General features: G+C 38.3%; 5 annotated features.

Moving 5' to 3' along the window:
• Window positions 2,787-3,315: an enhancer, noted in NCBI's record as "OCT4-NANOG-H3K27ac hESC enhancer chr2:196977894-196978422 (GRCh37/hg19 assembly coordinates)". NCBI's record gives its function as "activates a minimal SCP1, AML or CMV promoter by ChIP-STARR-seq in naive H9 embryonic stem cells {active_cell/tissue: H9 hESC(naive)}" and the evidence as "EXISTENCE:reporter gene assay evidence [ECO:0000049][PMID:30033119]".
• Window positions 14,893-14,992: an enhancer, noted in NCBI's record as "active region_16895". NCBI's record gives its function as "activates an Ori minimal core promoter by ATAC-STARR-seq in GM12878 lymphoblastoid cells {active_cell/tissue: GM12878}" and the evidence as "EXISTENCE:reporter gene assay evidence [ECO:0000049][PMID:35858748]".
• Window positions 15,263-15,412: an enhancer, noted in NCBI's record as "active region_16894". NCBI's record gives its function as "activates an Ori minimal core promoter by ATAC-STARR-seq in GM12878 lymphoblastoid cells {active_cell/tissue: GM12878}" and the evidence as "EXISTENCE:reporter gene assay evidence [ECO:0000049][PMID:35858748]".
• Window positions 15,433-15,522: an enhancer, noted in NCBI's record as "active region_16893". NCBI's record gives its function as "activates an Ori minimal core promoter by ATAC-STARR-seq in GM12878 lymphoblastoid cells {active_cell/tissue: GM12878}" and the evidence as "EXISTENCE:reporter gene assay evidence [ECO:0000049][PMID:35858748]".
• Window positions 18,961-19,549: an enhancer, noted in NCBI's record as "OCT4-NANOG hESC enhancer chr2:196961660-196962248 (GRCh37/hg19 assembly coordinates)". NCBI's record gives its function as "activates a minimal SCP1, AML or CMV promoter by ChIP-STARR-seq in naive H9 embryonic stem cells {active_cell/tissue: H9 hESC(naive)}" and the evidence as "EXISTENCE:reporter gene assay evidence [ECO:0000049][PMID:30033119]".

Genomic DNA, 24,568 nt, shown 5'->3' with positions numbered 1-24,568 from the left:
GGAGGGTCACTTGTGCCTAGGATGTCAAGGTGGCCATGATCTGTGATCACTCCACTGCACTCCAGCCTGGGCAAAAAGGTGAAACCCTGTCTCAAAAAAAAGAAAAGTTAAAATTAAAAATAAATAAATATTAAATAATTAAAAATTCATCATTCATGAAGTCAATTAAAGTTAAAAGAGAATACTCTAAATTGCAATATTTGCTGCATTAACAGACTGTAGTATTTGTTAAATAGAAGAGAGAAACATGAACAATTCACTGCAATGTTTCCTGGTGTGCCGTTTGTACTACACAAATAGGTGTTATGCAGATTGTCTATATTCACACACAATTTACTATATGTGGAGCAGAAATTGGTATAAAACGAGTCTTCTATAATTCTCTATTTGTAATGTCTGAAAACTGTCTTGTAAAGACAGCTTTTTTCTTTTCTTTTCTTTTCTTTTTTTTGAAACAGGGTCTTGCTCTGTTTCCCAGGCTGAAGTGCAGTGGCACGGTCATAGCTCACTGCAGCCCTGAACATCTGGGCTCAAACAATCTTCCCACCTCAGCCTCCCAAGTAGTTGGGACTGCAGATGCATACCACCATGCCTGGCTATTTTTTTTTTAATTTTAGTTTTTGTAGAGACAAGTTCTCACTATGTTGCCAAGGCTGGTCTCAAACTCCTGGGCTCAAGTGATCCCCCCACCTCAGCCTCCCAAAGTGCTGAGATTACACGCGTGAGCCATGGCACCTGGCCTAGTTTGCCTACTTTAAAATGGAATGATTTGTCTTTTTTTTTAGAAAAAAATTTGTTCTTAATTATTTATTTATTTTGAGGCAGGGTCTCACTCTGTCACCCAGGCTGTGGAGTACAGTGGCACAATCACAGATCACTGCAGCCTTAACCTCCTGGGCTCAAGCAGTCCTCCCACTTCAACCTCCCAAGTAGCTGGGACTACAGGTGTGTGCCACCATAGTCGGATACTTTTTTTATTTTTTGTAGAGATAGGGTCTCACTATGTTGCCTAGGCCAGTCTTGAACTCCTGGGCTCAAGTGATCCTCGTGCCTCAGCCTCCCAAACAACTGAGATTATAGGTGCGAGCCACTGTACCTGGCCTGTATTTTTATGATTGAATTGTAGGTGTTCTTTTTATGCTCTAGATACATTAAGAGGATACTTTGTATACATTAAGAGCATACTTTGTATACTCCTCTTAATTTTTGAGGGACTACATCAAAGAAAACAAATATTAGATAAATCAGAATGTCTGATGTCGGCACTCAAAATTGAGATGTACACATAGTCACACAAATAAATAAAGGTAAAATTCTTTCATATTTTGACAGGGATGGTTTTTCATTAATTGCAATAATAAAACATTCCAAGAGTGTACAGATATACAAAAGAGAGAAAACAGTTAAGCCCATTATGGCGTATTTGGGTAATGAAGCATGATTATGTCTTCAAAATGGCAACTATGTTCTTCATGACTTCTGAGAATTTCTGATACATGAAGAGAAAAAACCTCACTTATGCCGTATGATCTCAGCTAAGTTTTTAAAAGTATGTAGAAAAATATCAAGAAACAAAAATGCCAGTATCCACAGCCATAAAAAAAGAATGAGTTTAGTCCTTTGCAGGGACATGGATGAAGCTGGAAACCATCATTCTCAGAAAACTAACACAGGAACAGAAAATCAAACACCGCATGTTCTCACTCATAAGTGGGAGTTGAAAAATGGGACACATGGATACAGGGAGGGGAACATCACACACTGGGGCCTGTCGGGGGGTAGGGAGCAAGGGGAGGGAGAGCATTAGGACAAATACCTAATGCATTTGGGGCTTAAAACCTAGATGATAGGTTGATAGGTGTAGCAAACCACCATGGCACATGTATACCTGTGAAACAAACCTGCATGTTCTGCATGTGTATCCCAGAACTTAAAGTAAAATAAAAATAAAAAATAGGAAAATAAGCCAGTATGTTAATCATGTCAGCACCTGGGCAGTGGAATGATAGGTGACTTTTTTTTTTATTCTTTCCAGTTGTCTCTGATGAACATGCATTTCTTTTATAATCAGGCATTTGATGGGAGAGGGTGGCAAATCTGTCTTAGCAATAGCAAAAAAATTGCAAAATAAAAATAATAGATTGTCTTTAAGGAAATACGATGGTTTTAGAAGTACGTGGTATTTCAGGGCTTTCTGTTATATCTTTTTTGAGTAATCCCCAAAAATTAGAGTGATTTTTACTTGCAACATCCCACGACCATTTATCTTGGATATTATTTGTCCAGATGTTTAAGTGACTTCTTGGAGGGTAGTTTGGCACACTGAGACACATTTCCTTGCTTGGAAACAACACCTTATAGTATGAATGCACCTATCGACTTTGCAATATCTATAGAATCCTAATTAAGGACAAATTTTCTTTGTTTACTTTGATTATCTGTCTGCTTGCTTCATATATTATTAAAAAGAGGCCCGTACAGCTTTGAAAAACATATTTCATGCCACAATAAGTCTATGCAGCTTGTTTTGCTCAGAGGCCAAGGATATTCCCATGATGTAGCCAAGCAATGGCTCTCTGGCCTCAGTTCTTGCAACTGCTATCATTTCAAGAGAAACCACTAATTGCTGAGGAATTCACCGGGAGCTAAAAAAGAACTTTTCTTCATAACATACTCATTGAGACCTCTTGCAGATTTCTGTTGTTCTCAGACCCCGAGTTCTCATTATTCACTACAGCTCTCATTCCTTACTCTCCATGTGAATGTATTTTCAGGCGAAACTGCTTTTGAAAAACAAAATGTTCTGGTGGATCTGGAGCCACAGTGACACAGTGATACTGGCACAGAGCTGAGGACATGCGTCCAGAACTGCTGCTTGTAAATGTGATAGTAATTTTACTAAAAATAAGGACGTTCTTTGCAATTTCTAGAGGTATGGATAGAGGGAAAACTGCAGTTGTCCTTTGCTTCTCAAGTGCCCTTTCATTTCCTGCTGTGTGCTGATGTTTCAAAGCCTCCACATGAATTAAAGTTCCAGTGAGATTTGCCATAGCGGTTTCTTGGGAATGTCCATAAATATTTTTTTTTTTTGCTTTGGTTTTTGTTCTCAGTAGAAAGTGTTGTTTGTGGTTATCCCTTTTCTAAATTATCTCTTTTTAAGATCTGAAAAATGAGCTTTTGTGTGTTTCAGGAAGTAAACAACTTTTTTTCCCCTGCCTTGTACCGGGCTGAGAGGTTTTACTTTTGGACATGGAGCTAGAGTTTTCAATTATTGATTCTACTGGAAGGTGACAGAGAACTCACTAATGTTTTCCTCTTTTAAGTAAACTTTTTCTGCATTTTTCCTGTGAGTGCTCATTGTTTTAGCAGGTTAATTATTTCACCACATTAAATGGTCATTGTTCCCTATCCCCAGTGCACTGAATAATTTAGGACATTTCCTTGTATTGAGACGACTCTTTGCTGGACTTCAAGAATGTTTACCAATTTGTTCAGATTTTCACCCATCCAGGGACTTAAAAGATTTTACAATAATAAATAAATAAATAAATAAATAAATAAATAACTTTAAAGGAGGAAAAAGAATTATGCAAATCAAAGTGAATACCCTGAAGCGTAACCCCTGCTGGCCTCTGGGTCACAAAGCAGTGAATATATTACTCTCCAAGGCTTTGCAATATTAACTATGGTGTACAGCTCCTGTTTTCTTCTACTCCACTTTTTTTAAAAAAAATTCCTTAAGGCAAACACACACACACACACACACACACACACACACACAGAGGAAAATAAAGTAGGAACGCAAGGGCATTTGCAAATTCAAATTCAATTTCTTGCACTTTTTATTCCCTGGGGAACATTGAGGAATGTGGGAGGTTGTTGACTAATCTTGCTATTTGACATCAGCCACATAGGAATGAGCAGGTTTCAAATGCATGAGTCACGTGATGAACTTATTGATGCTAACAATAGCTAAAGCTTATTGAGTACTTACTTGCCAGGTACAAGGTAAATTCTACCCTTGTTACTCCAGTTCTCATTTAAATCTAAAACAACGGGCAGAGGTAAATATCATTATCTCTGTTTTACTGGAGTTAAATGAGTCAGCCAAGGTAACATAGCTGTCTTAGTTCAGATTGTTCTTACAAAATACCGTTAACTGAGTGGCTTAAACAATATAAATTTATTTCTCACAGTTGTGTAGGCTGAATGTTCAAGATTCAAGTGCTGGCCGATTCAGCTCCTGACTGTCAAACAGACACCTCCTTGTATCCTCATATGGTGAAGAGAGAGCTCATCTCTTTCCTGTCTCTTCTTACAAGGGCACTGATCCCATTCATGAGGGTTCTACCTTCATGATATAATTACCAAGACCCCACCTCCAAATATCATCACCCTGGGGGCTTCAACACATGAATATATGTGAAGAGACAAAATTCAGTCTATACAACAGTCAGCGAAGGACAGAGGCAGGAATTTAATGCAGGCCACCCTGGATAGCAAAGAGGGTTTGCTTTCTACCTCTGTTATTTTATATTCAACCACAAAAGTACCTACATCTGTCAATAGTTCATATTATTTCCTTATGCTTCCCATGGACAGGAGTGCAAGTTTGCAAATCTCAGCTGTCCATTAAAACAGTGCATAACCACTTCATATATTATACAAAATGTTTAACAAGGGGCACTAGAATCCTATGTGTTTACAGTGTTTTCAACAAATATTACATTCTATATTATTTGGAGTTTAATTGACAAAACTAGCAGAATATATATTTTAACAAAGTTATTCTAACAGGGATTGCAAGGTGAATGCCAACATCTGTTTGCTTTAATAGCATTTAGAAGTTTATAGGAGTTTAAAAAGCATTATATTTCATAAATATTTTTCTTAAAAGTATTACATTATATCTTATAAGTATTTTTATTAAAGTGGTAAATGCATTTACCACATAAAATACAGAAAAACAAAAAATGAAAAAAAATTTAAAAAATCAACTTAGAGCCAGGCGCGGTGGCTCACGCCTGTAATCCCAGCACTTTGGGAGGCCGAGGTGGGCGGATCACGAGGTCAGGAGATCGAGGCCATCCTGGCTAACACGGTGAAACCCTATCTCTACTAAAAATACAAAAAATTAGTCAGGCGTGGTGGTGGGCGCCTGTAGTCCCAGCTACTTGGGAAGCTGAGGCAGGAGAATGGTGTGAACCCGGGAGGCAGAGCTTGCAGTGAACAGAGATCACGCCACTGCACTCCAGCCTGGGCAACAGAGCAAGACTCCGTCTCAAAAAAAAAAAAAAATCAACTTAGATTCATATATTTAGTGATAATCACTGCTAACATGTTGGTTCATCTCTTTCTTTTACTTAACATATCATAAATATGGCCAGGCGCAGTGGCTCACGACTATAATTCCAGCACTTTGGGAGGCCAAGGCGGGTGGATCACTGGAGGTCAGGAGTTCGAGAACAGCCCGGCCAACATGGTGAAACCCTGTCTCTACTAAAAATACAAAAATTAGCCTGGCATGGTGGCACAGGCCAGTAGTCCCAGTTACTCAGGAGGCTGAGGCAGGAGAATGGCTTGAACCCTGGGAGCGGAGGTTGCAGTGTGCCAAGTTTGTGCCACTTCTCTCCAGCCTGGGTGACAAAGTGAAATTCTGTCTCATAAATAAATAAATAAATAAATAAATAAATAAATAAATGAGAAAAAGAAAAAAACAAATATATTCTTGTCACAGAATATTCTAACATAACATTATTTTTAATGATTATATACATTACATTCTATGGGTATAGTATCCTTTATTTAACCAATTCCCTATGTTGGATGTTTCATTTTTTAAAGTAATTGTTGAAAACAGTGCAGCAATTATCCTTGAAGGCAAACATTTGTGTACATTTATGATTATTTTCTTAAGATAATTCCTTAAAAGTAGAATTTCAAGGTCAAAGGATACATATTAGGATTTTTTCCTTCTGGAAAAAAAAACATACTATTTTTTTTTTCAGCTTTCTGATCTATCTATAGTGGAAAAATCATGCCATACTAAGGCCCATTGGCTAAGTAAGAGTGCCTGTTTGTCCACCCTTGTTAACATTGGATATTATCAATTTTCAAGTCATTACCAATTTAATAGGATAAAATAGTATTTTGTCTTGTTTTATTTTTCATTTCTTTTATCACTGTGAGACCAGGCATCTTTTTATGGTTTATTAGTCATTTGTATTTCTTCTTGAATTACATTTTGAGAAGCAAGATTATATAATATTTTTGGCTCAGTTTAAGCAATACCAAATATCCTGATGATAGATTAAAAAAAAAAAGTTTAGACTTTTTTCTGGAGTCTTTTTCCTTTATTTAGATGCCAAAACCATAGCCTTTGGGGTTTGTAGGGTAGCTTAATGTTGACACCATCTAGGTATGGCCTTGGTTAGCTTGGTGGCCTTTTCTGCTGAATGGATATGCACATGGTGGGTACTAAATGAACATTTGAAGAAATGTGCAAACTAATGACTAACATGACCCAAAGTAGAACTTTTTCTGACCTGACCAAAAACTAAAATGCTGAGTTGAGAGGCTATTTGTGGCTACAGAAATATTATTGGCAGGTAGTCTGGGGCTATCAAATTCAGTTTCATTTGTAATTGAATTAGAGACCTACATTCTTTTCTCCAACGAGACTAGTATACTAAATCCTGCCTTTGACATTTGATAGTATTAAACAGGATTTTAGCCAATGAACAAAGTTTCTATTTATGGAAAATGTCAAGGGATAAGCATGAAAGTGTAGTAATATCATTATTTTCTATCTAACTGAATAATTGAACATGAACAGTGAGAAAATTTCTGCCAAACAATAACAAATGTTCTGTCCTGAGAGGCTGGGTTAAAGATCTGTTGAATCGTAAAAGATCCAACACAAATGCAAAACAAATATTTCATGTGTGGGCAATTATAGGTGAAAAGAAAACCCCACGGAAACATGTATATGTTTCATTCAAAATGAAAGGAGCCTGTTCCTGAATGGCCAAGATAAATCCAGCTATTAGTCCCCTCTTTGTGGTTCATGTATTTTCCAGAATTTGAAAATTGTTATTTGCAATTGGAATATCCGTATCCCATACCCTGCCTCATCACCCCTGCACATGCATTCATGTGTGCATGCGTGCACACACACACACACACACACACACACACACACACACCAGTCTAGGACTGCATGTTCCTCCAGCATGAATTACTCAAAGTAACAGAGACTTTGCATGTCAGGCCTCCAGCACGAGTCTGGCACAAAGCAAGTACTCACTAAATGTAAATGTGGATCATGGAATGAAAGAAGAAACTTGCCGAAGCACTCCAGAATAAAGCATTCAGGAGGCAATCCTGGCATTGTCACCTCTATCTGTCAAGTGAGAAGACTGAGGCTGAGTGGAGACTTTCTCAAGATTATATAGTTAATGATGGAGCTAAGACTTGAATGCAAATATGCTATTCATAGAAAGAAAATTATGGTGTTTTAAATACAAAAAATACCTGTTTCTGCATTTTTGAGTCTACTCCATATCATGAAAGTGAATTTATAATATTATAAAGGTTGTCTTCCATTCTATATTTACACCTTGTTTCATTTCCCAAATAATTCAGAGCAAACTATGACTGTACAATGAGGTGGGGAACTGAGGTGAGGATGGTGAGAGAGGTGGTGAGAGAGAAAGAGAATAAAGATTAAGAACTGTGAAAATGTATGCTAAAATTATAACAGTTAACATTTAGTACGTGCTGTATGCCAAGCATTGTTCTAAGTGCTTGCCATAGATTAACTCATTGAATACACACAATTACTCTGTGAGGTAGGTACTACTGTTATCCCAACTTCACAGTTACAGGAACTGAAACACGGAGAACTCCAGTATCTTTCCTAGGTCACAGAGCTAAAAGATGGTGAGGCCAGTATATAAACCTAAGCAGTTATAGCCCTTGATCCCATGCTCAAAGCACTATATTATTCTGCCAATATATCCTTGGGATACATTATATCCTAGTGATATGGTTCAGCTGTGTCCCCAGCCAAATCTCATCTAGAGTTCCCATAATCCCCACGTGTCATGGGAGGGACCCAGCAGGAAGTAATTGAATCATGGGGCTGGTTTCCCCCATGCTGTTCTCGTGACAGTGACTGAGTTCTCACGAGATCTGATGGTTTTATAAGCATCTGGCATTTCCACTGCTGGCACTCATTCTCTCTCCTGCAACCCTGTAAAGAGGTGCCTTCCGCCATGATTGTAAATTTCCTGAGGCCTCCCCAGCCATGCGGAACTGTGAGTCAATTAAACCTTTTTTCCTTATAAATTACCCAGTCTTGGGCAGTTCTTTATAGCAGCGTGAGAACGGACTAATAGGATCTGTACTTCTCCAATTTTTGTCTCCTGACCCATACCCTGAAAGCCTATGCCCTAAATCTACCTCACACAGGGTTCTAAGAGCTGAATCCTAGGATCCTCTCTTAGGCTTGTTACACTTCCACTTTGGTAAATGAGTATTTGTTGAGATGAATATTGGACAAAGTTTTTTTTTATTTCCTCAGCAGGAGGGTTGATCCATATTAAGCTCTGATATTGAGCTCCCTTATTTACTGGTGGTGTGATCTTTGGGCAAGGCACCTATCTTTGTGCCTCAGTTTTCTCATCTGTGAAATATGGATAATATTAATAACTATCATATGTTTAGTGTGAGCATTAAATCTGACCATGGATGAAAAGTGTTAGCACAGTACCTGTCACATAGTAAAATTAATGAATTATTAAAGTAATGTTAGCTGTTATGATTATTATAAGAAAATATAATACTTTGAGTTTGTTACCTTAAGGCCCAGTTTGGTCAGATACTCAGAGAAGACTAAATCATCAGGACTAAAAAAATAAAATCAGGCCTAGATAATATAACCACCAACTGTTTGCAGTTTAGTCTTAATTAACCTCTAGCTTTCTGTTCAATTGCCTCGCCTTAATTGGGTAAGTTTAGCTCATCCAGACGCAGGTATAACATATCTATTGAATTTATTTTTAATCTGCAAGCTTTCTAGACCAGTTTGTTGTTTTTACATTTTAAAAGTATAATGCTAACTATAGAAATTTAGAAATTGGCTGGGCCCGGTGGCTCACGCCTGATAATCCCAGCATTTTGGAAGGCCGAGGCGGGTGGATTGCCTGAGCTCAGGAGTTCGCGACCAGCCTGGGCAACACGGTGAAACCCCGTCTCTACTAAAAATACAAAAAATTAGCCGGGGGTGGCAGCGTGCCACCTGTAGTCCCAGCTACTCGGGAGGCTGAGGCAAAAGAATTGCCTGAACCCGGGAGGCGGAGGTTGCAGTGAGCTGAGATGGCGCCACTGCACTCCAGCCTGGAGGAAAGACCGAGACTCTGTCAAAAAAAAAAAAAAAAAGAAATTTCGAAATTGTAGAAATTTATGTATAAAGCGAAAAAAGTCACTCATAATCTCCTATTTTAATAATGGTGAAAATGGAATGAATCAGAATTCTTGTTTTATGGCACATAATAATCACTGGTCCATGTATGGCCACTCTTCATTCTGTTTATTCATCATGAAATGACATAATGATTAATAAAGACCCTCTGCCCTGCCCAAAAGTTAAATGTTTATGTCTCCTGTACTTGTTTTCCCTGGTGCCTCCTGACCTGTGCCTTCTTGCCAGAGGTGACTGTTATCCCAAATTTTGTGCTTTTCATTCCTTTCTTTTAGTTTCATCATGCACACATGGACACTTGCAAACACACATGTACGTGTATATGTGCCTAAATAATATATTTAGCTTAGCTTTTTTCCGAGCTATCAACAGGCAGTTTTGATATGTTATTGAGATACTAAAATTCAACCCTGTTGTTTTATGTGGCTGAAGTAAGATCAAATGCCAAATGCAATTTTGCATTCTGCCATCTACATGTCCCTGCACTTGTCATATTTAAGAATTTTCTCATTTTATTGTAACTGTTGCAGACAATAACATCTCATTCAGTGGTTATATCATAATTTGCTTAACCATCTTGCCATTACTGGCCGTTTAGATTATTTCTTATCTTGGCTAGTATAATTACCATATGGACAAACATTATTTAACATAAATATATTTTCTGAATTTTGTCTTATTTCCTGAAAGTGACTTCCATAATCAGAACTATTGGGTCAGATACCCAAACATTGTAGGACTCTTGTGTATTCTGCCGAATTGGTTTCCAAAGGCCTGAGACTAATTAAAACTCGACCCGCAATGATTCAGCATGCCATAGAAATGTCAATTTAAAATCTAGAGATTCAGAGGAAATCATGTGTTCAGAACTGCTTGGCAAGAATAAATCAGCCGGGGAAACTAAATGCAAAGAGGAAGTACATTCGTAATTATCAGTGAACTATTTTAACCAACTCCTTAAAGTTATAACAAGAACAGTTTTAGAGTCAAGTTCTGAAAAGAAGAAAATCTGGATCATTGCTCTTTTCCTGGTACCATATCAAATATTTATCTGGAGTCATCCAGATAAATTACCAATATTTTCTTTCTAGACATTTCATATGTTTAAATGTAGCTGTAATTGAAACAATGTACTGCTATGATGAAAATTGTTTTGCTTTAGGAACTTTTGTGTTTTATGCTTTGTATTTTACCATAAATTAGCCTTTTATTTCCCTTTGTGTGTTTCAGGATTTTGTGTTCCTGAAGGCATTCCTTGGTTTACTTTGTATCACATAGTCTAGTTCTAACAGGACTCAGATGAGGGGAATTTTTTAAAACAAATCTTTATTTACTCAGTATAGAAATTCCTACTGTTCAGTAGATTATTTAAAACCATCTCAATTTCCCTTACAGTGCCAACCAACATAATGATACCAGCATTTTCAGGCATAATTATCTCTCCTAGAGGGAATCAGTAAATTTAACATGAAGTTTATTACTATCCCTATCTTTATGAAATGATTGATGAAAACATTTGGCTCTATTATACCTAAAACCAATAGCAGTAAAATGGATAAACAGTGATTGGGAAAGCCCACTAGCCAAAACAGAGTCTAGGCTTCTAAGTCTGGAATGGTTATAGCACAATATTCCATACATACTTTTGAAAGAAGAGGTTAGTGTAGAGAATAGTCAACATAGTTATACAAACATATAAAAACCATTAAAAATGTTGGTCTCCAACTAGGGAAAGCCAAAGGATTTTGATTCTAAGTCAACTACTTGAAATCTCACATTTTCCCTCTAGTTGATGAGTTTTATGCCACAATTTATAAAGTTTATATTTTTCTGTTGGTTTCTTTCCCACATACACATTACTTTTCATTTTGTTTTTGTCAGCCCTTCATTTAGGTTTGAATGCTGCTTATTTTGTTTAATTTTACACCTAAAAGAATTTTTTGGATAAAATCTCCCTGCAGTTTATATCATGTATCAGACATGTATTTCCTAAATTTTTATTACTTTCTTAAAAATATAATTAGAGAGCCACCCCTTTGGGAAAGGTTAAGCAGTGGCAAGGGGTGGCTCTCTAATTGCTCTTTTCCTGGTACCATATCAAATATGTATTTGGAGTCGTCCAGATAAATTACCAATATTTTCTTTCTAGACATTTCATCCATTTAAATATAGCCATAATTAAAACAACATACTGCTGTGAAGAAAATTGTTTTGCTTTAGGAATTTGTGGATTAGCAATGGTTTTCCTCTCTGTGCCTAGATTTCTTTATCTATAAAATGGGAATTAAAAACAGTACCACTTCCTATAGCTAAGGTTAAAAGAATTATGTAAAGTATGACAGGCACAAAGAAAATGTTATGTGAAAGTTAGTACTTTTACTTTTATGTATCTATGCCTCCTGAAATCTCCAATAGACTGTAAATATCAGCCCACATGGTTGAGAATCAAACAATAATACAATAATATCACTGGAGGCACAAATATTGACCCTGAATTTGGTAAACATTTATTTAGGGCTTACCCTATGCAAATAAAAATATAAACTAAATGAATGTGTTTCATTAGTCAGAAGATCCTAAGCAAAAAGAGTGAGAATTATAGACACTTGAACTCCTTGCCTAAAAGACAGCCCTCGTCTACCTTGGAAGATTGTTCTGTCTGGTAAGGTTGACCGCTCACAAGGAACCTTGAAGAGGGTGTATAACAGACATTGCTATTTGCTAACTGTGCCATCCTTCTCCCCTCTTCTTACTCACTAACACAAGCCATGAACTAGGCCACCACAACCTTCAAAAGAGGCCAGCCCTTCAGTTGTCCCAGGAGGTGGATCTTGATTCTATGCCTCTCTCAGCGACTGGTTTAGAAATGGCTGAATGACTCCATTCTTGCTAATGCTGTGAGAAGCAAAGCCTACCGGGAGACTTCTTGGGAAATATTCCTGGTACTTTGAAAATGACACAGGAAAGACGAGGTTTTCTCTTCCAACTTTTAGACGTTAACGTGTAAAGATATAGTGCTTAGAACTGCAGTAACCACTTTTGACCATGAGTGTAACTGCAGCAACCACATTTGACCATGAGTGGGTCAACCCAAAAAGATAAACCTTTGTGCTGAAAAAAAACAAAGCAAGGATTTGGGGAAAAAAAACCCTGGATCTTTGATGATGTCATTGAGCTGTTGAATGAACCAACTTGTAACATCCTGACTCTGTTACTCTGTTTTTAATATGTGAGACAATAGATCCCTTAACTGCAGAAACTATTTTGAGTTCAGGCTTCTGTTACTTGCAGCAGAAACATACAAACTAACAAAGGGAATTAGGGATCATGTCTCAGCTGGTTAGTCAGGTATATTAATTTCCTGTTGCAGGTGTAACAAATTACCACAAACTTAGTGGCCTAAAACAATGCAGATGTATTCCTTGACAGTTCAGGGGTCAGAAGTTTATAGTCAATCTGTAGGCAGGGCTGTGTTCCTTCTGGATGCTTAGGGGGGAATCTGTTTCCTTGCCTTTTTCAGATTCTAGAGACTGCCTATATTCCTTAGCTTGTGGCCCCTTCCTCACATCACTCCAGTCTGTGGCTTCCATCATCACATCTCCTAGTATTGACTTTCCTCCTTTTTATAAGGATCTTGGGCTCTCCTGGATAATTCAGGATAATCTCTCGATCTCACGATCCCTAATGTAATAACATGTGCTAAGTCCCTTTTATCATTGAACTAAATTAACATTTTCATAGGTTCCAAGGATTAGGACATTGACATCTTTGGGGACAGTGGTCATTCATTATTCAGTCTATCACACCAGGTGAACTAAACCAACCCTAGAGACAAATTCTGGATGAGAGCTGCAGTCACAGCCAGCTCACCCATGTAGTTAGCGGGAGTACATGGGGCTTCGGAAAAAGGCTTTTCTTCCTAATAAAAGAAAGCTTGATATGACTGAGCTGCTAAATCAATCCACCCTGCAACCCTAATTTTGGACTTCTTGTATAGAGAGATGATAAATTCCTTATTGTTTAAACTCCATTTGATATAGTGAAAATTGCACCAAAAATCATCCTAACTGGTCTTCAGGGGTAGGAACCTGAATTTACTTTCGATTTCTGGAAGAGTATTATAAGCCACAAACTATCAACTCCTATATACGTTGAAAAAATAAGCATTAATGGTAAACTGTAGGTATTGAGGAAATTGTGTTCATGCAAAGGGAATGAACATGATGAAGAGGGCTTGGTAAACTGTAATTATGATCTCCTCTATATTACTTTACTACTAGCCAGCCATGCCAGAGTGTCTGCCATCATCTTTCTCTTTGCAAGTGAGTATCTTTGTTCCTAGTTGGTATCCCTAATTTAGCCCCAAGTGATCAATCCTTCTTGCCTCCTCATCTCTATAACAACACTTGATAATTAAATTGTGTCTTTTCTATGTGCCAGGCACTGCTTTAAGAGCTTTGCCTGGGTTAAATTAATCATCAGGATGAGACTTTGAAATTGTTACTACTGATATTCCCATTTTACAGGTGAGCAAATTCAACTGCAATTTCCTCAATAACCCCAGTTTACCATGAATGCTTATTTTCTCAGCTTGTATAGGAGTTGACAGTCTGTGGCTCATAACAGTCTTCCAGAAGTTGAAATAAATTCAGGTTCCTACCCGTGAGGACCAGTTAGGATGCTTTTTGGTGAAATTTTCACTATATCCAATGGGGTTTAAACAATAAAGAATTTATTATCTCTCCAAACAAGAAGTCCAAAATTAGGGTTGCAGGGTGGATTGATTTAGCAGCTCAGTCATACCAAGATTTCTTTTACTAGGAAGAAAATACTTTTTCCAAACCCCTAAGCAGTGTTTCTTTTTTTGGCATGATCCCTACGCCATTCACAGGCAAAGGGGAATGGATGATCCATGACTCCTCTCTGAGACTGAGCCTAACTACCATGAGCATATTGTTGCCTGATCCCTGAACAAAGCCTGGGGTCTATTAGCAAAAGGAAAAGTGAGGGAACCAAAGGAGCCTTACTCTCCAGGACATCTGCACGCCACCAGAGTGCAGAATGTAAGCTGTCTTGCATGCGTATGAAAAACATAACTCTAACACTGACCCCAAGGTCTCTCCTGCTGTGCATAACTAATAGGCCCTGTGACTGCTTACTGCTGTGATGCAGAACAGACTTCACAGGTGCTCCTCGGCTGGGACTGGTGTGGCAGCGTGGGAGGCAGGGGCATACTGTCACTATGACTGAGCAGAGTATTATTGGAAATGGTGTTTGACTCCCTTCTTATTGGTGCAACTCAAAAGGGCAATGTAGTAAACAGTTCCAGACAAATTTGAAGACAAGATGTTTTTCATAAGGAAGGAAAAAATTCTCACAACAAGCCAAATGTGCATCTTTTCAGATAGGAGCCCTTCATATTCACTGGAATTTCTTAAAAAGTAACTTTCCACATATTTCCCCCAAAATAACCTATTTCACTAAGAGTAAAGCACGTGGCACCTAATTTATCTTCCCTGAACAGAGTAGAGCTGAGTCACTGACACAGAACTGAAACCTTCGCACCCAAGCAGGCTCAAGGGACTGAGCCAGAACTGATTCTCAGATAGCTCAACCCTCCCTCCCTCTCCCACAATAAAGGTTCATATCAAAATCACACTCTGAACATCTGACTCATATCTTGTGATTATTGAACATACTCCTCCTGTACCAATGTTCCTGTGGACATTTGACCATTTCCATGTTCATTTCTTAGGGAAAACAGGATTGTTTAGCTGGAGGTTGAATCAAATAGATATACATATTGAAACCAAGTGTCCTCTCTTGCTGTCTGAACATCCAAACAAAGCTAGGAGCAGCCCCCTTACCATTAATCAAGGACCAGATAAACAGCTATCTGCTGAAGAGGACTTCTGCAGCAATGGCTTAGCCCTCACCTCTGGCACAAGGAAGGATGGATGGGTGGGCTGCAATTAGTTGGCATGTTCAAAATAAGAGACAAGTGGCAGGGAACACCTCTTGGTTTGACTTCAGCTTGCATCACTGTGGCTCTTGACTGCCATTTCTACTTTTCCTGTGTAGATCGAAAGCTCTAATCCTTACCCCTAGTAAGTGCAATAGTGCCCTTTGTACAGTTGGAGACCTCCACCTCCTAGTTTGAGCCAGAATGTGTTCTGTGCGTAAATACATTACATGGAGTCCAAGAGATTTCTTTCTTTCTTAATTTACACATAATAATTGTACATATTCATGGGGTATGTAAGGATGTTTTGATACATATAATGTATGATGATTAGATCAGGGTAATTAGCATATCCATTATCTCAAACATTTATCATTTCTTTGTGTTGGGAACATTCAATATCCTTCCTTCTAGCTATTTGAAACTACATATTGTTAACTGTAGTAGTCCTACAGTGGTATAGAACACTAGAAACGTATTCCTCCTCCCTTGCTCTGATTCTGTAACCCTTAACAAATCTCTCCCTAAAGGTTTCTGTTAACTCCTAATAAATGATCGCGTGGGTTGGCAGAGTCAAGAATGAGGTTAAATGGAGAATTCTTGGCCTGAGGACTATGAATTCCTTTTTTTTTTTTTTTTTTTTTTTTGGCCCATTTGGTTCCACGTGTGCCTCCAGATCTCTGGTGCTGTGGAGCAGTGACTGTGCTGTGTGCTGCACACCTCACTCTCTTGCCGCTTTCCCTGGTCTCCATCAGGACTTTACCAAAACACTCAAGTGCTGTGGCATCTGAGAATGTCCCTCTATGCACTGTCTGTCCATATAGTGAGATAAGGGAGGTGCTGGAAACAATTGTTCTCTTCCTCTATGATTCCTGCAAGTATTGTTTTGCAATTGTGCTGCCCGCCTTGAAAATCACATGGTGCCCCACTGGCAGCTTTATGATCATTTCTCTAAATGAAAGTGAGAGGTTATCGAATTTGTCTAGTTTAGTGTGAGTCACTTATATGCCTGGGAAATGAAGTCCTATCCTGTGTTATTGATACTGGAAGCTGCACAAAAGGAATGAGTCTCTGGAGTTTGGAACTCACCTCATGAATCTCACACCAACCAGTGCTGTCCTGGCTTTTCATTGGGATGGAATGAGAATCAAGTCCCCATGGTGGAGGTTATCGTGAAAACCCCAGATTTTAATAGAGAGGTAATTTGAGTACATAACATATTGAACTTGAATATTATGCACTTGAAGGAAAAATATTTCCTTTGTAGTGGGCAGCCTCTATTATGTTTTGGAGGAATTTTCCAGTAAATCATCTAACAGCTGCTTTACTGTATAGGCCTTGAAATTTTATCTGTTCATTGGTTACAGACACTTTTGCTTTTGGAAACTTCACATGCTTCTCTTTACCAGTAATATTTTGTTCCCAAAATATCGGCTCCTGGGGAGGATTTAATAAAGGCTGACCCAACAAGACATGTTTTTGAGCAAACCTTTTGGATGTCTTTGGCTAGGAACCATGTCCTATGTAAGTGTATTCTATGTAAGATTATTACTAAAAATCCAAAAAGCAACCTACAGATTTTGTGACAAAAAGAAAATGTTAACCATCTCTGAACATAAAGGCATTTTGCATCTGTGAATGTAGAAACAGTGATTATAGTGGGTGCTAGTAGAGGTATAGAATGTATGTGTGTGTTTTGGAGGAGTGGCAAGGAAGAAACAATGGGACAAGCATTGGCAAAAATATGGCTGGTGGAGATTCTTTCCTTCAGACTGCAGATTGAAGACACCCTTCACAGACAGGAGCCACTGAATAAACACCTCTGAAGAAGATAGAAAGAGAATAGCTTGCTAATGCCGTGCTAACTGAAGTGAGCCTGCAATTCTCAAAATATGATCCATTTGAGGGTTACCTGGAAGATGCTTATTCCAGAATAGAGGCATGATGTGTTGATTTTTGGAAGGGGCTCCTGGCCAACAGCAATTGAAAAACTGAAAAAAATGGAGGCTGAAAACTCACCAACCATGACTTCAGTTCATGGGGCACAGTCATTATCTATGCCCTTTAAGAAAGAAAGATTCCACATGGACAGTGTGTGAAGACAGTGGAGAGGGTGAAGGAAGAGCAGAAAGGTTTGCTCTAAGAGGCCCATCTGACACTGGTCACAGGTCAGTATAAGGCAGAAGAGAGGAGGGCAGGAGGCTTAGCTTGGAGTTGGTAAATGAAAGAGTTTTCAAGGAGATTTTCCAGTCATAAATTAGAGAGAACAAGAGCAGAAGAGGGGGCTATTTATGGAAATATTTGCAATAGGTGAATAGTTTGCAAATTATTGGGGAACCTGCATTTCTTTTTGTCTCATCTATTTATTTTAAGTCAGAATAATCCCTTATTTTAAAAATTATATGTATTGGCATATTAAAAGATTAATAAGTAAAATAGTTCTTTCCCTCTTAGGTTCTGTAGCACTCAAACCAATGGAGACAAAAATATCAGTTTGATTACTGAGAACAATTATATTGCAGGGTATGACTATGTAAGTGGTCAAATAGACATGCTAATACTCCACTTCCTCAATCTTTGCCTTGATTCAGCCCAATCAAGGTAAGTTTGGGGTACTTTTACCCATGATTCTTGTGTCACATTAATTTGGGACATGGAGAGAAGAAAAGAGAAATTCCTAGTAATTACAGGTTTAAAAAGTTTTAAATAGATAAGCTCTAGTCAAATGAAACCAATAGATCTTACATAGCAATTATTAGAGGGTAGAACAACAGGACAAAAGAGTTACCTCTCTGAGCGAAGCTCATCTACTTTTAAAAACCTGTAACTTTCATATGACAGCATGTGTAGAAAATTATAATAATCATACACGATAGTAGAAATAAAAAGCTCATCTACTTTTATAAACCTGTAACTGTCACATGACAGCACATGTAGAAAAGTATAATAATCATACACGATAGTAGAAAAAAATGGATGAGTCAGCTTGAAGTTAGAGAAGTTAGCTTAGGGGCTCTGGCTTTCAGAAGCCCTTCACGGACTTGGTTCACTTGTAACCAAAGGTTGTGGTACACTATGTACATAGATACGGGATCTGGGCAAGCTGATTGGCAAGGTCAGCCCTAAAGGATCTGCCACCTGTTTTCTTATTGTACTTTTTGTGATGATCACGTAATTTTTCTTTTTTAATTTGTTAACCAGTGAAGTGTCTTTCCAATAATTCCTTGATTCTCTGACAGCAACTGGGTGTCCTATAATGTAGTTCAGTTCTGACACAACCCAGAATGAGTGCAGATTCCACAGGTTAAGGGCTCAGTCCCCCAAGACCACCCTCATTTCAGACACTGGTGGTAAGACCTGGAGGTTATGCATACTTCTGACTGACCAGCTATCCATTTGGGGTTCCCTATGACCTCCGCTCAGGTTTAATAAGTCACTAGAATGACTCACAGAGCTTAGGAAAGCTTTATAATTATGATTATGGTTTTATTATAAAGAATACAATTCAGAAACAGCCAAATGGAAGACAGGAGTAGGGCCAGGTATTGAGTGTGTGTAGGTGGGGCCAGGGAAGACACAGAGCTTACATGTGCTCTGTGTGCACCATCATCCCAGCACATTGATGTGTTCCCCCACCTGGAGGCTTCCAGAGCCTCTTGTTCAAAGTGTTTAATCAAGGTTTCATTACATACACATGATTGACTAAATCATTGGCCAGTGGCGATTCAACAATCTCCAGCCTCCCTCTCCTCCCCAAAAGTGGGGCGGCTGAGTGGGTGAGTGTGTAAGGCTGAAAGTTGTAACGCTCAGATCCCAAGCTTTGTCTTTCTGATGATAAGCTCCCATCCTGAAGCTATCTAGGGGCCCTGCCTTGAGTCACCTCAGCATGAACTCAGGTATGATGGAAACAAGCTCGTTATGAATAACAAAAGACACTCTGTCCCTCAGGAAAATCCAAGGGTTTTAGGAGCTCTGTGCTAGTAATCTGAGACAAAGGCAAATAAGTTTTTTATTATGCAGTAATAAAAGGGTAAATTATATTCATATATTTTTAAAAATCTTAAACGGTTCTTTCATTCTTTAACTGCTTATATTTTATATACTATTTGATTTGGTATACTAATACCTTGTTTTGGATTTTCACATAGTAAAAATGGCCTATAGTTTTCCTTGTTGATATTGTCATTGTCTAATTTTGTTAGCAAGGTTCAATTGGGCTTATTAAATTAGTTTGGGATATTTTCTCTTTTTCTAGTCTTAAAAAGAGTTTAAGAATATGTATGTTCCTTGAATGTTTCATTGAATTCATATATAGAACTTTCTGAGCTGGAGTTTACTTTTGAGAAGTCTCTTAATTACCATGTTAAAAGAAAAACTTTAAACAAATTAAATTTAATGGGATTTAATGCAGCAAAGAATAATTCACAAATCAGAAAGCCCTGAACCAGAACAGGTTCAGAGAGACTCCGGTGCTGCTGTTTGGTTGAAAAATATTTACGGACAGTAAAAGGAAAGTTATATACAGAAAATGGAAGAGAGGTACAGAAACACCCAGATTGATTACAGCTTGGCAGTTGAACACAAGAGCAGGTTACAATTTGTTTACCCATCCAGTTAGGTTACAGTTTACTATGTACAGAGAAACCTTTACGCTGAACTTAAAATACATAAGGAGGCAGATTCAGTTAAACTTTTAAAAACAACCGATTCAATAGCAAAAATGATTATAAGAGCATTCAGATGTTCTATTTATTCTTGAGTCTGTTTTGGTAAGTTATGTTTTCTAAGAATTTGTTCATATCATTAGGTTTTTAAACATGTGGACACAAAGTTATTTATATTTTCTTATGTCTCAATGCCAACTGCAATTATATTTATGCCCCTCTTTTGAATCTTCACACATTTCATTTTTGCCCAAGTACCAAGGCAGAAGCCATAGCTTATAATTCAATGGAATTCTTAATGCGAGCCCTGACAAAAGTATTTTCCCTTTAGATACTTTGTGTGTGTGTGTGTGTGTGTGTGTGAGTGTGTGTGTGTGTGTGTGTGTGTGTGTGTGTGAGATAGAGAGAGAGAGAGACAGAGACAGAGTCAGGCTGGAGTGCAGTGGTGCCGTCCTGGCTCACTGCCGCCTCCTGGGTTCAAGTGATTCTTGTGCCTCAGCCTCCCGAGTAGCTGGGACTAAAGGCACGCACCATCACACCCAGCTAACTTTTGTATTTTTTAGTAGAGACAGGTTTTCACATGTTGGCGAGGCTGGTCTCGAACACCTGACCTCAAGTGATTTGCCCACCTCAACCTTCCAAAGTGCTGGGATTACAGGCGTGAGCCACCGTGCCCGGCCTCCCCTTAGATACTTATGAATGATATTAATTTCTGCCATCTGCCCCCATACTGTCTCCCTAACCCAGGATGTAATACTGGTTTTGATAATCCTTCTTGGCTGGGGATGTGGAAAGTTCTAGACGCTTCCACCTGGCCATCTACACTATGATAGCCCAATGTGAGGTTATGCTAACTGCCAAGTGTGCCAATCCCAAATATTCAGTAGGAGAAAATAAACCTGCCTATAGAAATAGAACAAGAAATAACCCTGATGGTGAAATTAGTAGATAGGATTTTAGAACCACTATGATAAAGATATTCAAATATTTATTTATTTGCATGCTAATAATTTTTTATTGGATGCCAGAATTTGTGGATTGTACCTTTGGGGTGCTGAATATTCTTTTTCTTTTATATTATGCTTTAAGTTCTAGGGTACATGTGTACAACATGCAGGTTTGTTACATATGTATATATGTGCCATGTTGGTGTGCTGCACCCATTAACTCGTTATTTACATTAGGTATATCTCCGAATGCTATCCCTACTCCCTTCCCCCACCCCACAACAGGCCCCGGTGTGTGATGTTCCCCTTCCTTTGTCCACGTGTTCTCATTTTTCAATCCCCACCTATGAGTGAGAGCATGCAGTGTTTGGTTTTCTGTCCTTGCAATAGTTTGCTGAGAATGATGGTTTCCAGCTTCATCCATGTCCCTACAAAGGACATGAACTCATCCTTTTTTATGGCTGCATAGTATTCCATGGTGTATATGTGCCACATTTTCTTAATCCAGTCTATCATTGTTGGACATTTGGGTTGGTTCCACATCTTTGCTATTGTGAATAGTGTCTTAATAAACATAAATGTGCATGTGTCCTTATGGTAGCATGATTTATAATCCTTTGGGTATATGCCCAGCAATGGGATGGCTGGGTCAATTGGTAGTTCTAGTTCTAGATCCTTGAGGAATCGCCACACTGTCTTCCACAATGGTTGAACTAGTTTACAGTCCCACCAACAGTTAAAAGCGTTCCTATTTCTCCACATCCTCTCCAGCACCTGTTGTTTCCTGACTTTTTAATGATTACCATTCTAACTGGTGTGAGATGGTATCTCATTGTGGTTTTGATTTGCATTTCTCTGATGGCCAGTGATGATGAGCATTTTTTAATGTGTCTGTTGGCTGCATAAATGTCTTCTTTTGAAAAGTGTCTGTTCATACCCTTTGCCCACTTTTTGATGGGGTTGATTTTTTCTTGTAAATTTGTTTAAGTTCTTTGTAGATTCTGGATATTAGCCCTTTGTCGGATAGGTAGATTGTAAAAATTTTCTCCCATTCTGTAGGTTGCCTGTTCACTCTGATGGTAGTTTCTTTTGCTGTGCAGAAGCTCTTTAGTTTAATTAGATCCCATTTGTTTGGGTTTTGTTGCCATTGCTTTTGGTGTTTTAGTTATGAAGTCCTTGCCCATGCCTTTGTCCTGAATGGTATTGCCTAGGTTTTCTTCTAGGGTTTTTATGGTTTTACGTCTAACATTTAAGTCTTTAATCCATCTTGAATTAATTTTTGTATAAGATGTAAGGAAGGGATCCAGTTTCAGCTTTCTACATATGGCTAGCCAGTTTTCCCAGCACCATTTATGAAATAGGGAATCCTTTCCCTATTTCTTGTTTTCTGTCAGGTTTGTCAAATATCAGATGGTTGTAGAGATGTGGTATTATTTCTAGGGCCTCTACTCTGTTCCATTGGTCTATATCTCTGTTTTGGTACCAGTACCATGCTGTTTTGGTTACTGTAGCCTTGTAGTATAGTTTGAAGTCAGGTAGTGTGATGCCTCCAGCTTTGTTCTTTTGGCTTAGGATTGTCTTGGCAATGTGGGCTCTTTTTTGGCTCCATATGAACTTTAATAGTTTTTTCCAATTCTGTGAAGAAAGTCATTAGTAGCTTGATGGGGATGGTATTGAATCTATAAATTACCTTGGGCAGTATGGCCATTTTCACAATATTGTTTCTTCCTATCCATGAGCATGGAATGTTCTTGCATTTGTTTGTGTCCTCTTTTATTTTGTTGAGCAGTGATTTGTAGTTCTCCTTAAAGAGGTCCTTCACATCCCTTGTAAGTTGGATTCCTAGGTATTTTATTCTCTTTGAAGCAATTGTGAATGGAAGTTCACCCATGATTTGGCTCTCTGTTTGTCTGTTATTGGTGTAGAGGAATGCTTGTGATTTTTGCACATTGATTTTGTATCCTGAGATTTTGCTGAAGTTGCTTATCAGCTTAAGGAGATTTTGGGCCGAGACGATGGGATTTTCTAGATATACAATCATGTCATCTGCAAACAGGGACAATTTGACTTTCTCTTTTCCTAATTGAATACCCTTTATTTCTTTCTCTTGCCTGATTGCCCTGGCCAGAACTTCCAACACTATGTTGAATAGGAGTGGTGAGAGAGGGCATCCCTGTCCTGTGCCAGTTTTCAAAGGGAATGCTTCCAGTTTTTGCCCATTCAGTATGATATTGGCTGTGGGTTTGTCATAAATAGGTCTTATTATTTTGAGATACGTCCCATCAATACCTAGTTTATTGAGAGTTTTTAGCATGAAGTGCTGTTGAATTTTGTTGTAGGCCTTTTCTGCATCTATCGAGATAATCATGTGGTTTTCGTCTTTGATTCTGTTTATATGATGGATTACATTTTTTGATTTGCATATGTTAAACCAGACTTGCATCCCAGGGATGAAGCCCACTTGATCATGGTGGATAAGCTTTTTGATGTGCTGCTGGATTCGGTTTGCCAGTATTTTATTGAGGATTTTTGCATCGATGTTCATCAGGGATATTGGTCTAAAATTCTCTTTTTTTGTTGTGTCTCTGCCAGGCTTTGGTATCAGGATGATGCTGGCCTCATAAAATGAGTTAGGGAGGATTCCCTCTTTTTCTATTGATTGAAATAGTTTCAGAAGGAATGGTACCAGCTCGTCTTTGTACCACTGGTAGAATTCAGCTGTGAATCTGTCTGGTCCTGGACTTTTATTGGTTGGTAAGCTATTATTGTCTCAATTTCAGAGCCTGTTATTGGCCTATTCAGAGATTCAACTTCTTCCTGGTTTAGTCTTGGGAGGGTGTATGTGTCGAGGAATTTATCCATTTCTTCTAGATTTTCTAGTTTATTTGCATAGAGGTGTTTATAGTATTCTCTGATGGTAGTTTGTATTTCTGTGGGATCGGTGGTGATATCCCCTTTATCATTTTTTATTGCATCTATTTGATTCTTCTCTCTTTTCTTTATTAGTCTTGCTAGTGGTCTATCAATTTTGTTGATATTTTCAAAAAACTAGCTCCTGGATTCATTGATTTTCGAAGGGTTTTTGTGTCTCTATTTCCTTCAGTTCTGCTCTGATCTTAGTTATTTCTTGCCTTCTGCTAGCTTTTGAATGTGTTTGCTCTTGCTTCTCTAGTTCTTTTAATTGTGATGTTAGGATGTCAATTTTCGATCTTTCCTGCTTTCTCTTGTGGGCATTTAGTGCTATAAATTTCCCTCTACACACTGCTTTGAATGTGTCCCAGAGATTCTGGTATGTTGTGTCTTTGTTCTTGTTTGTTTCAAAGAACATCTTTATTTCTGCCTTCATTTCGTTATGTACCCAGTAGTCATTCAGGAGCAGGTTGTTGAGTTTCCATGTAGTTGAGTGGTTTTGAGTGAGTTTCTTAATCCTGAGTTCTAGTTTGATTGCACTGTGGTCTGAGAGATAGTTTGTTATAATTTCTGTTCTTTTACATTTGCTGAGGAGTGCTTT

Source organism: Homo sapiens, chromosome 2 (genome assembly GCF_000001405.40).
Source record: "Homo sapiens chromosome 2, GRCh38.p14 Primary Assembly".
NCBI classification, from domain to species: domain Eukaryota; kingdom Metazoa; phylum Chordata; class Mammalia; order Primates; family Hominidae; genus Homo; species Homo sapiens.
Note: the sequence above shows the minus strand (reverse complement) of the source record. Positions and strands in the feature narration are given on the sequence as shown.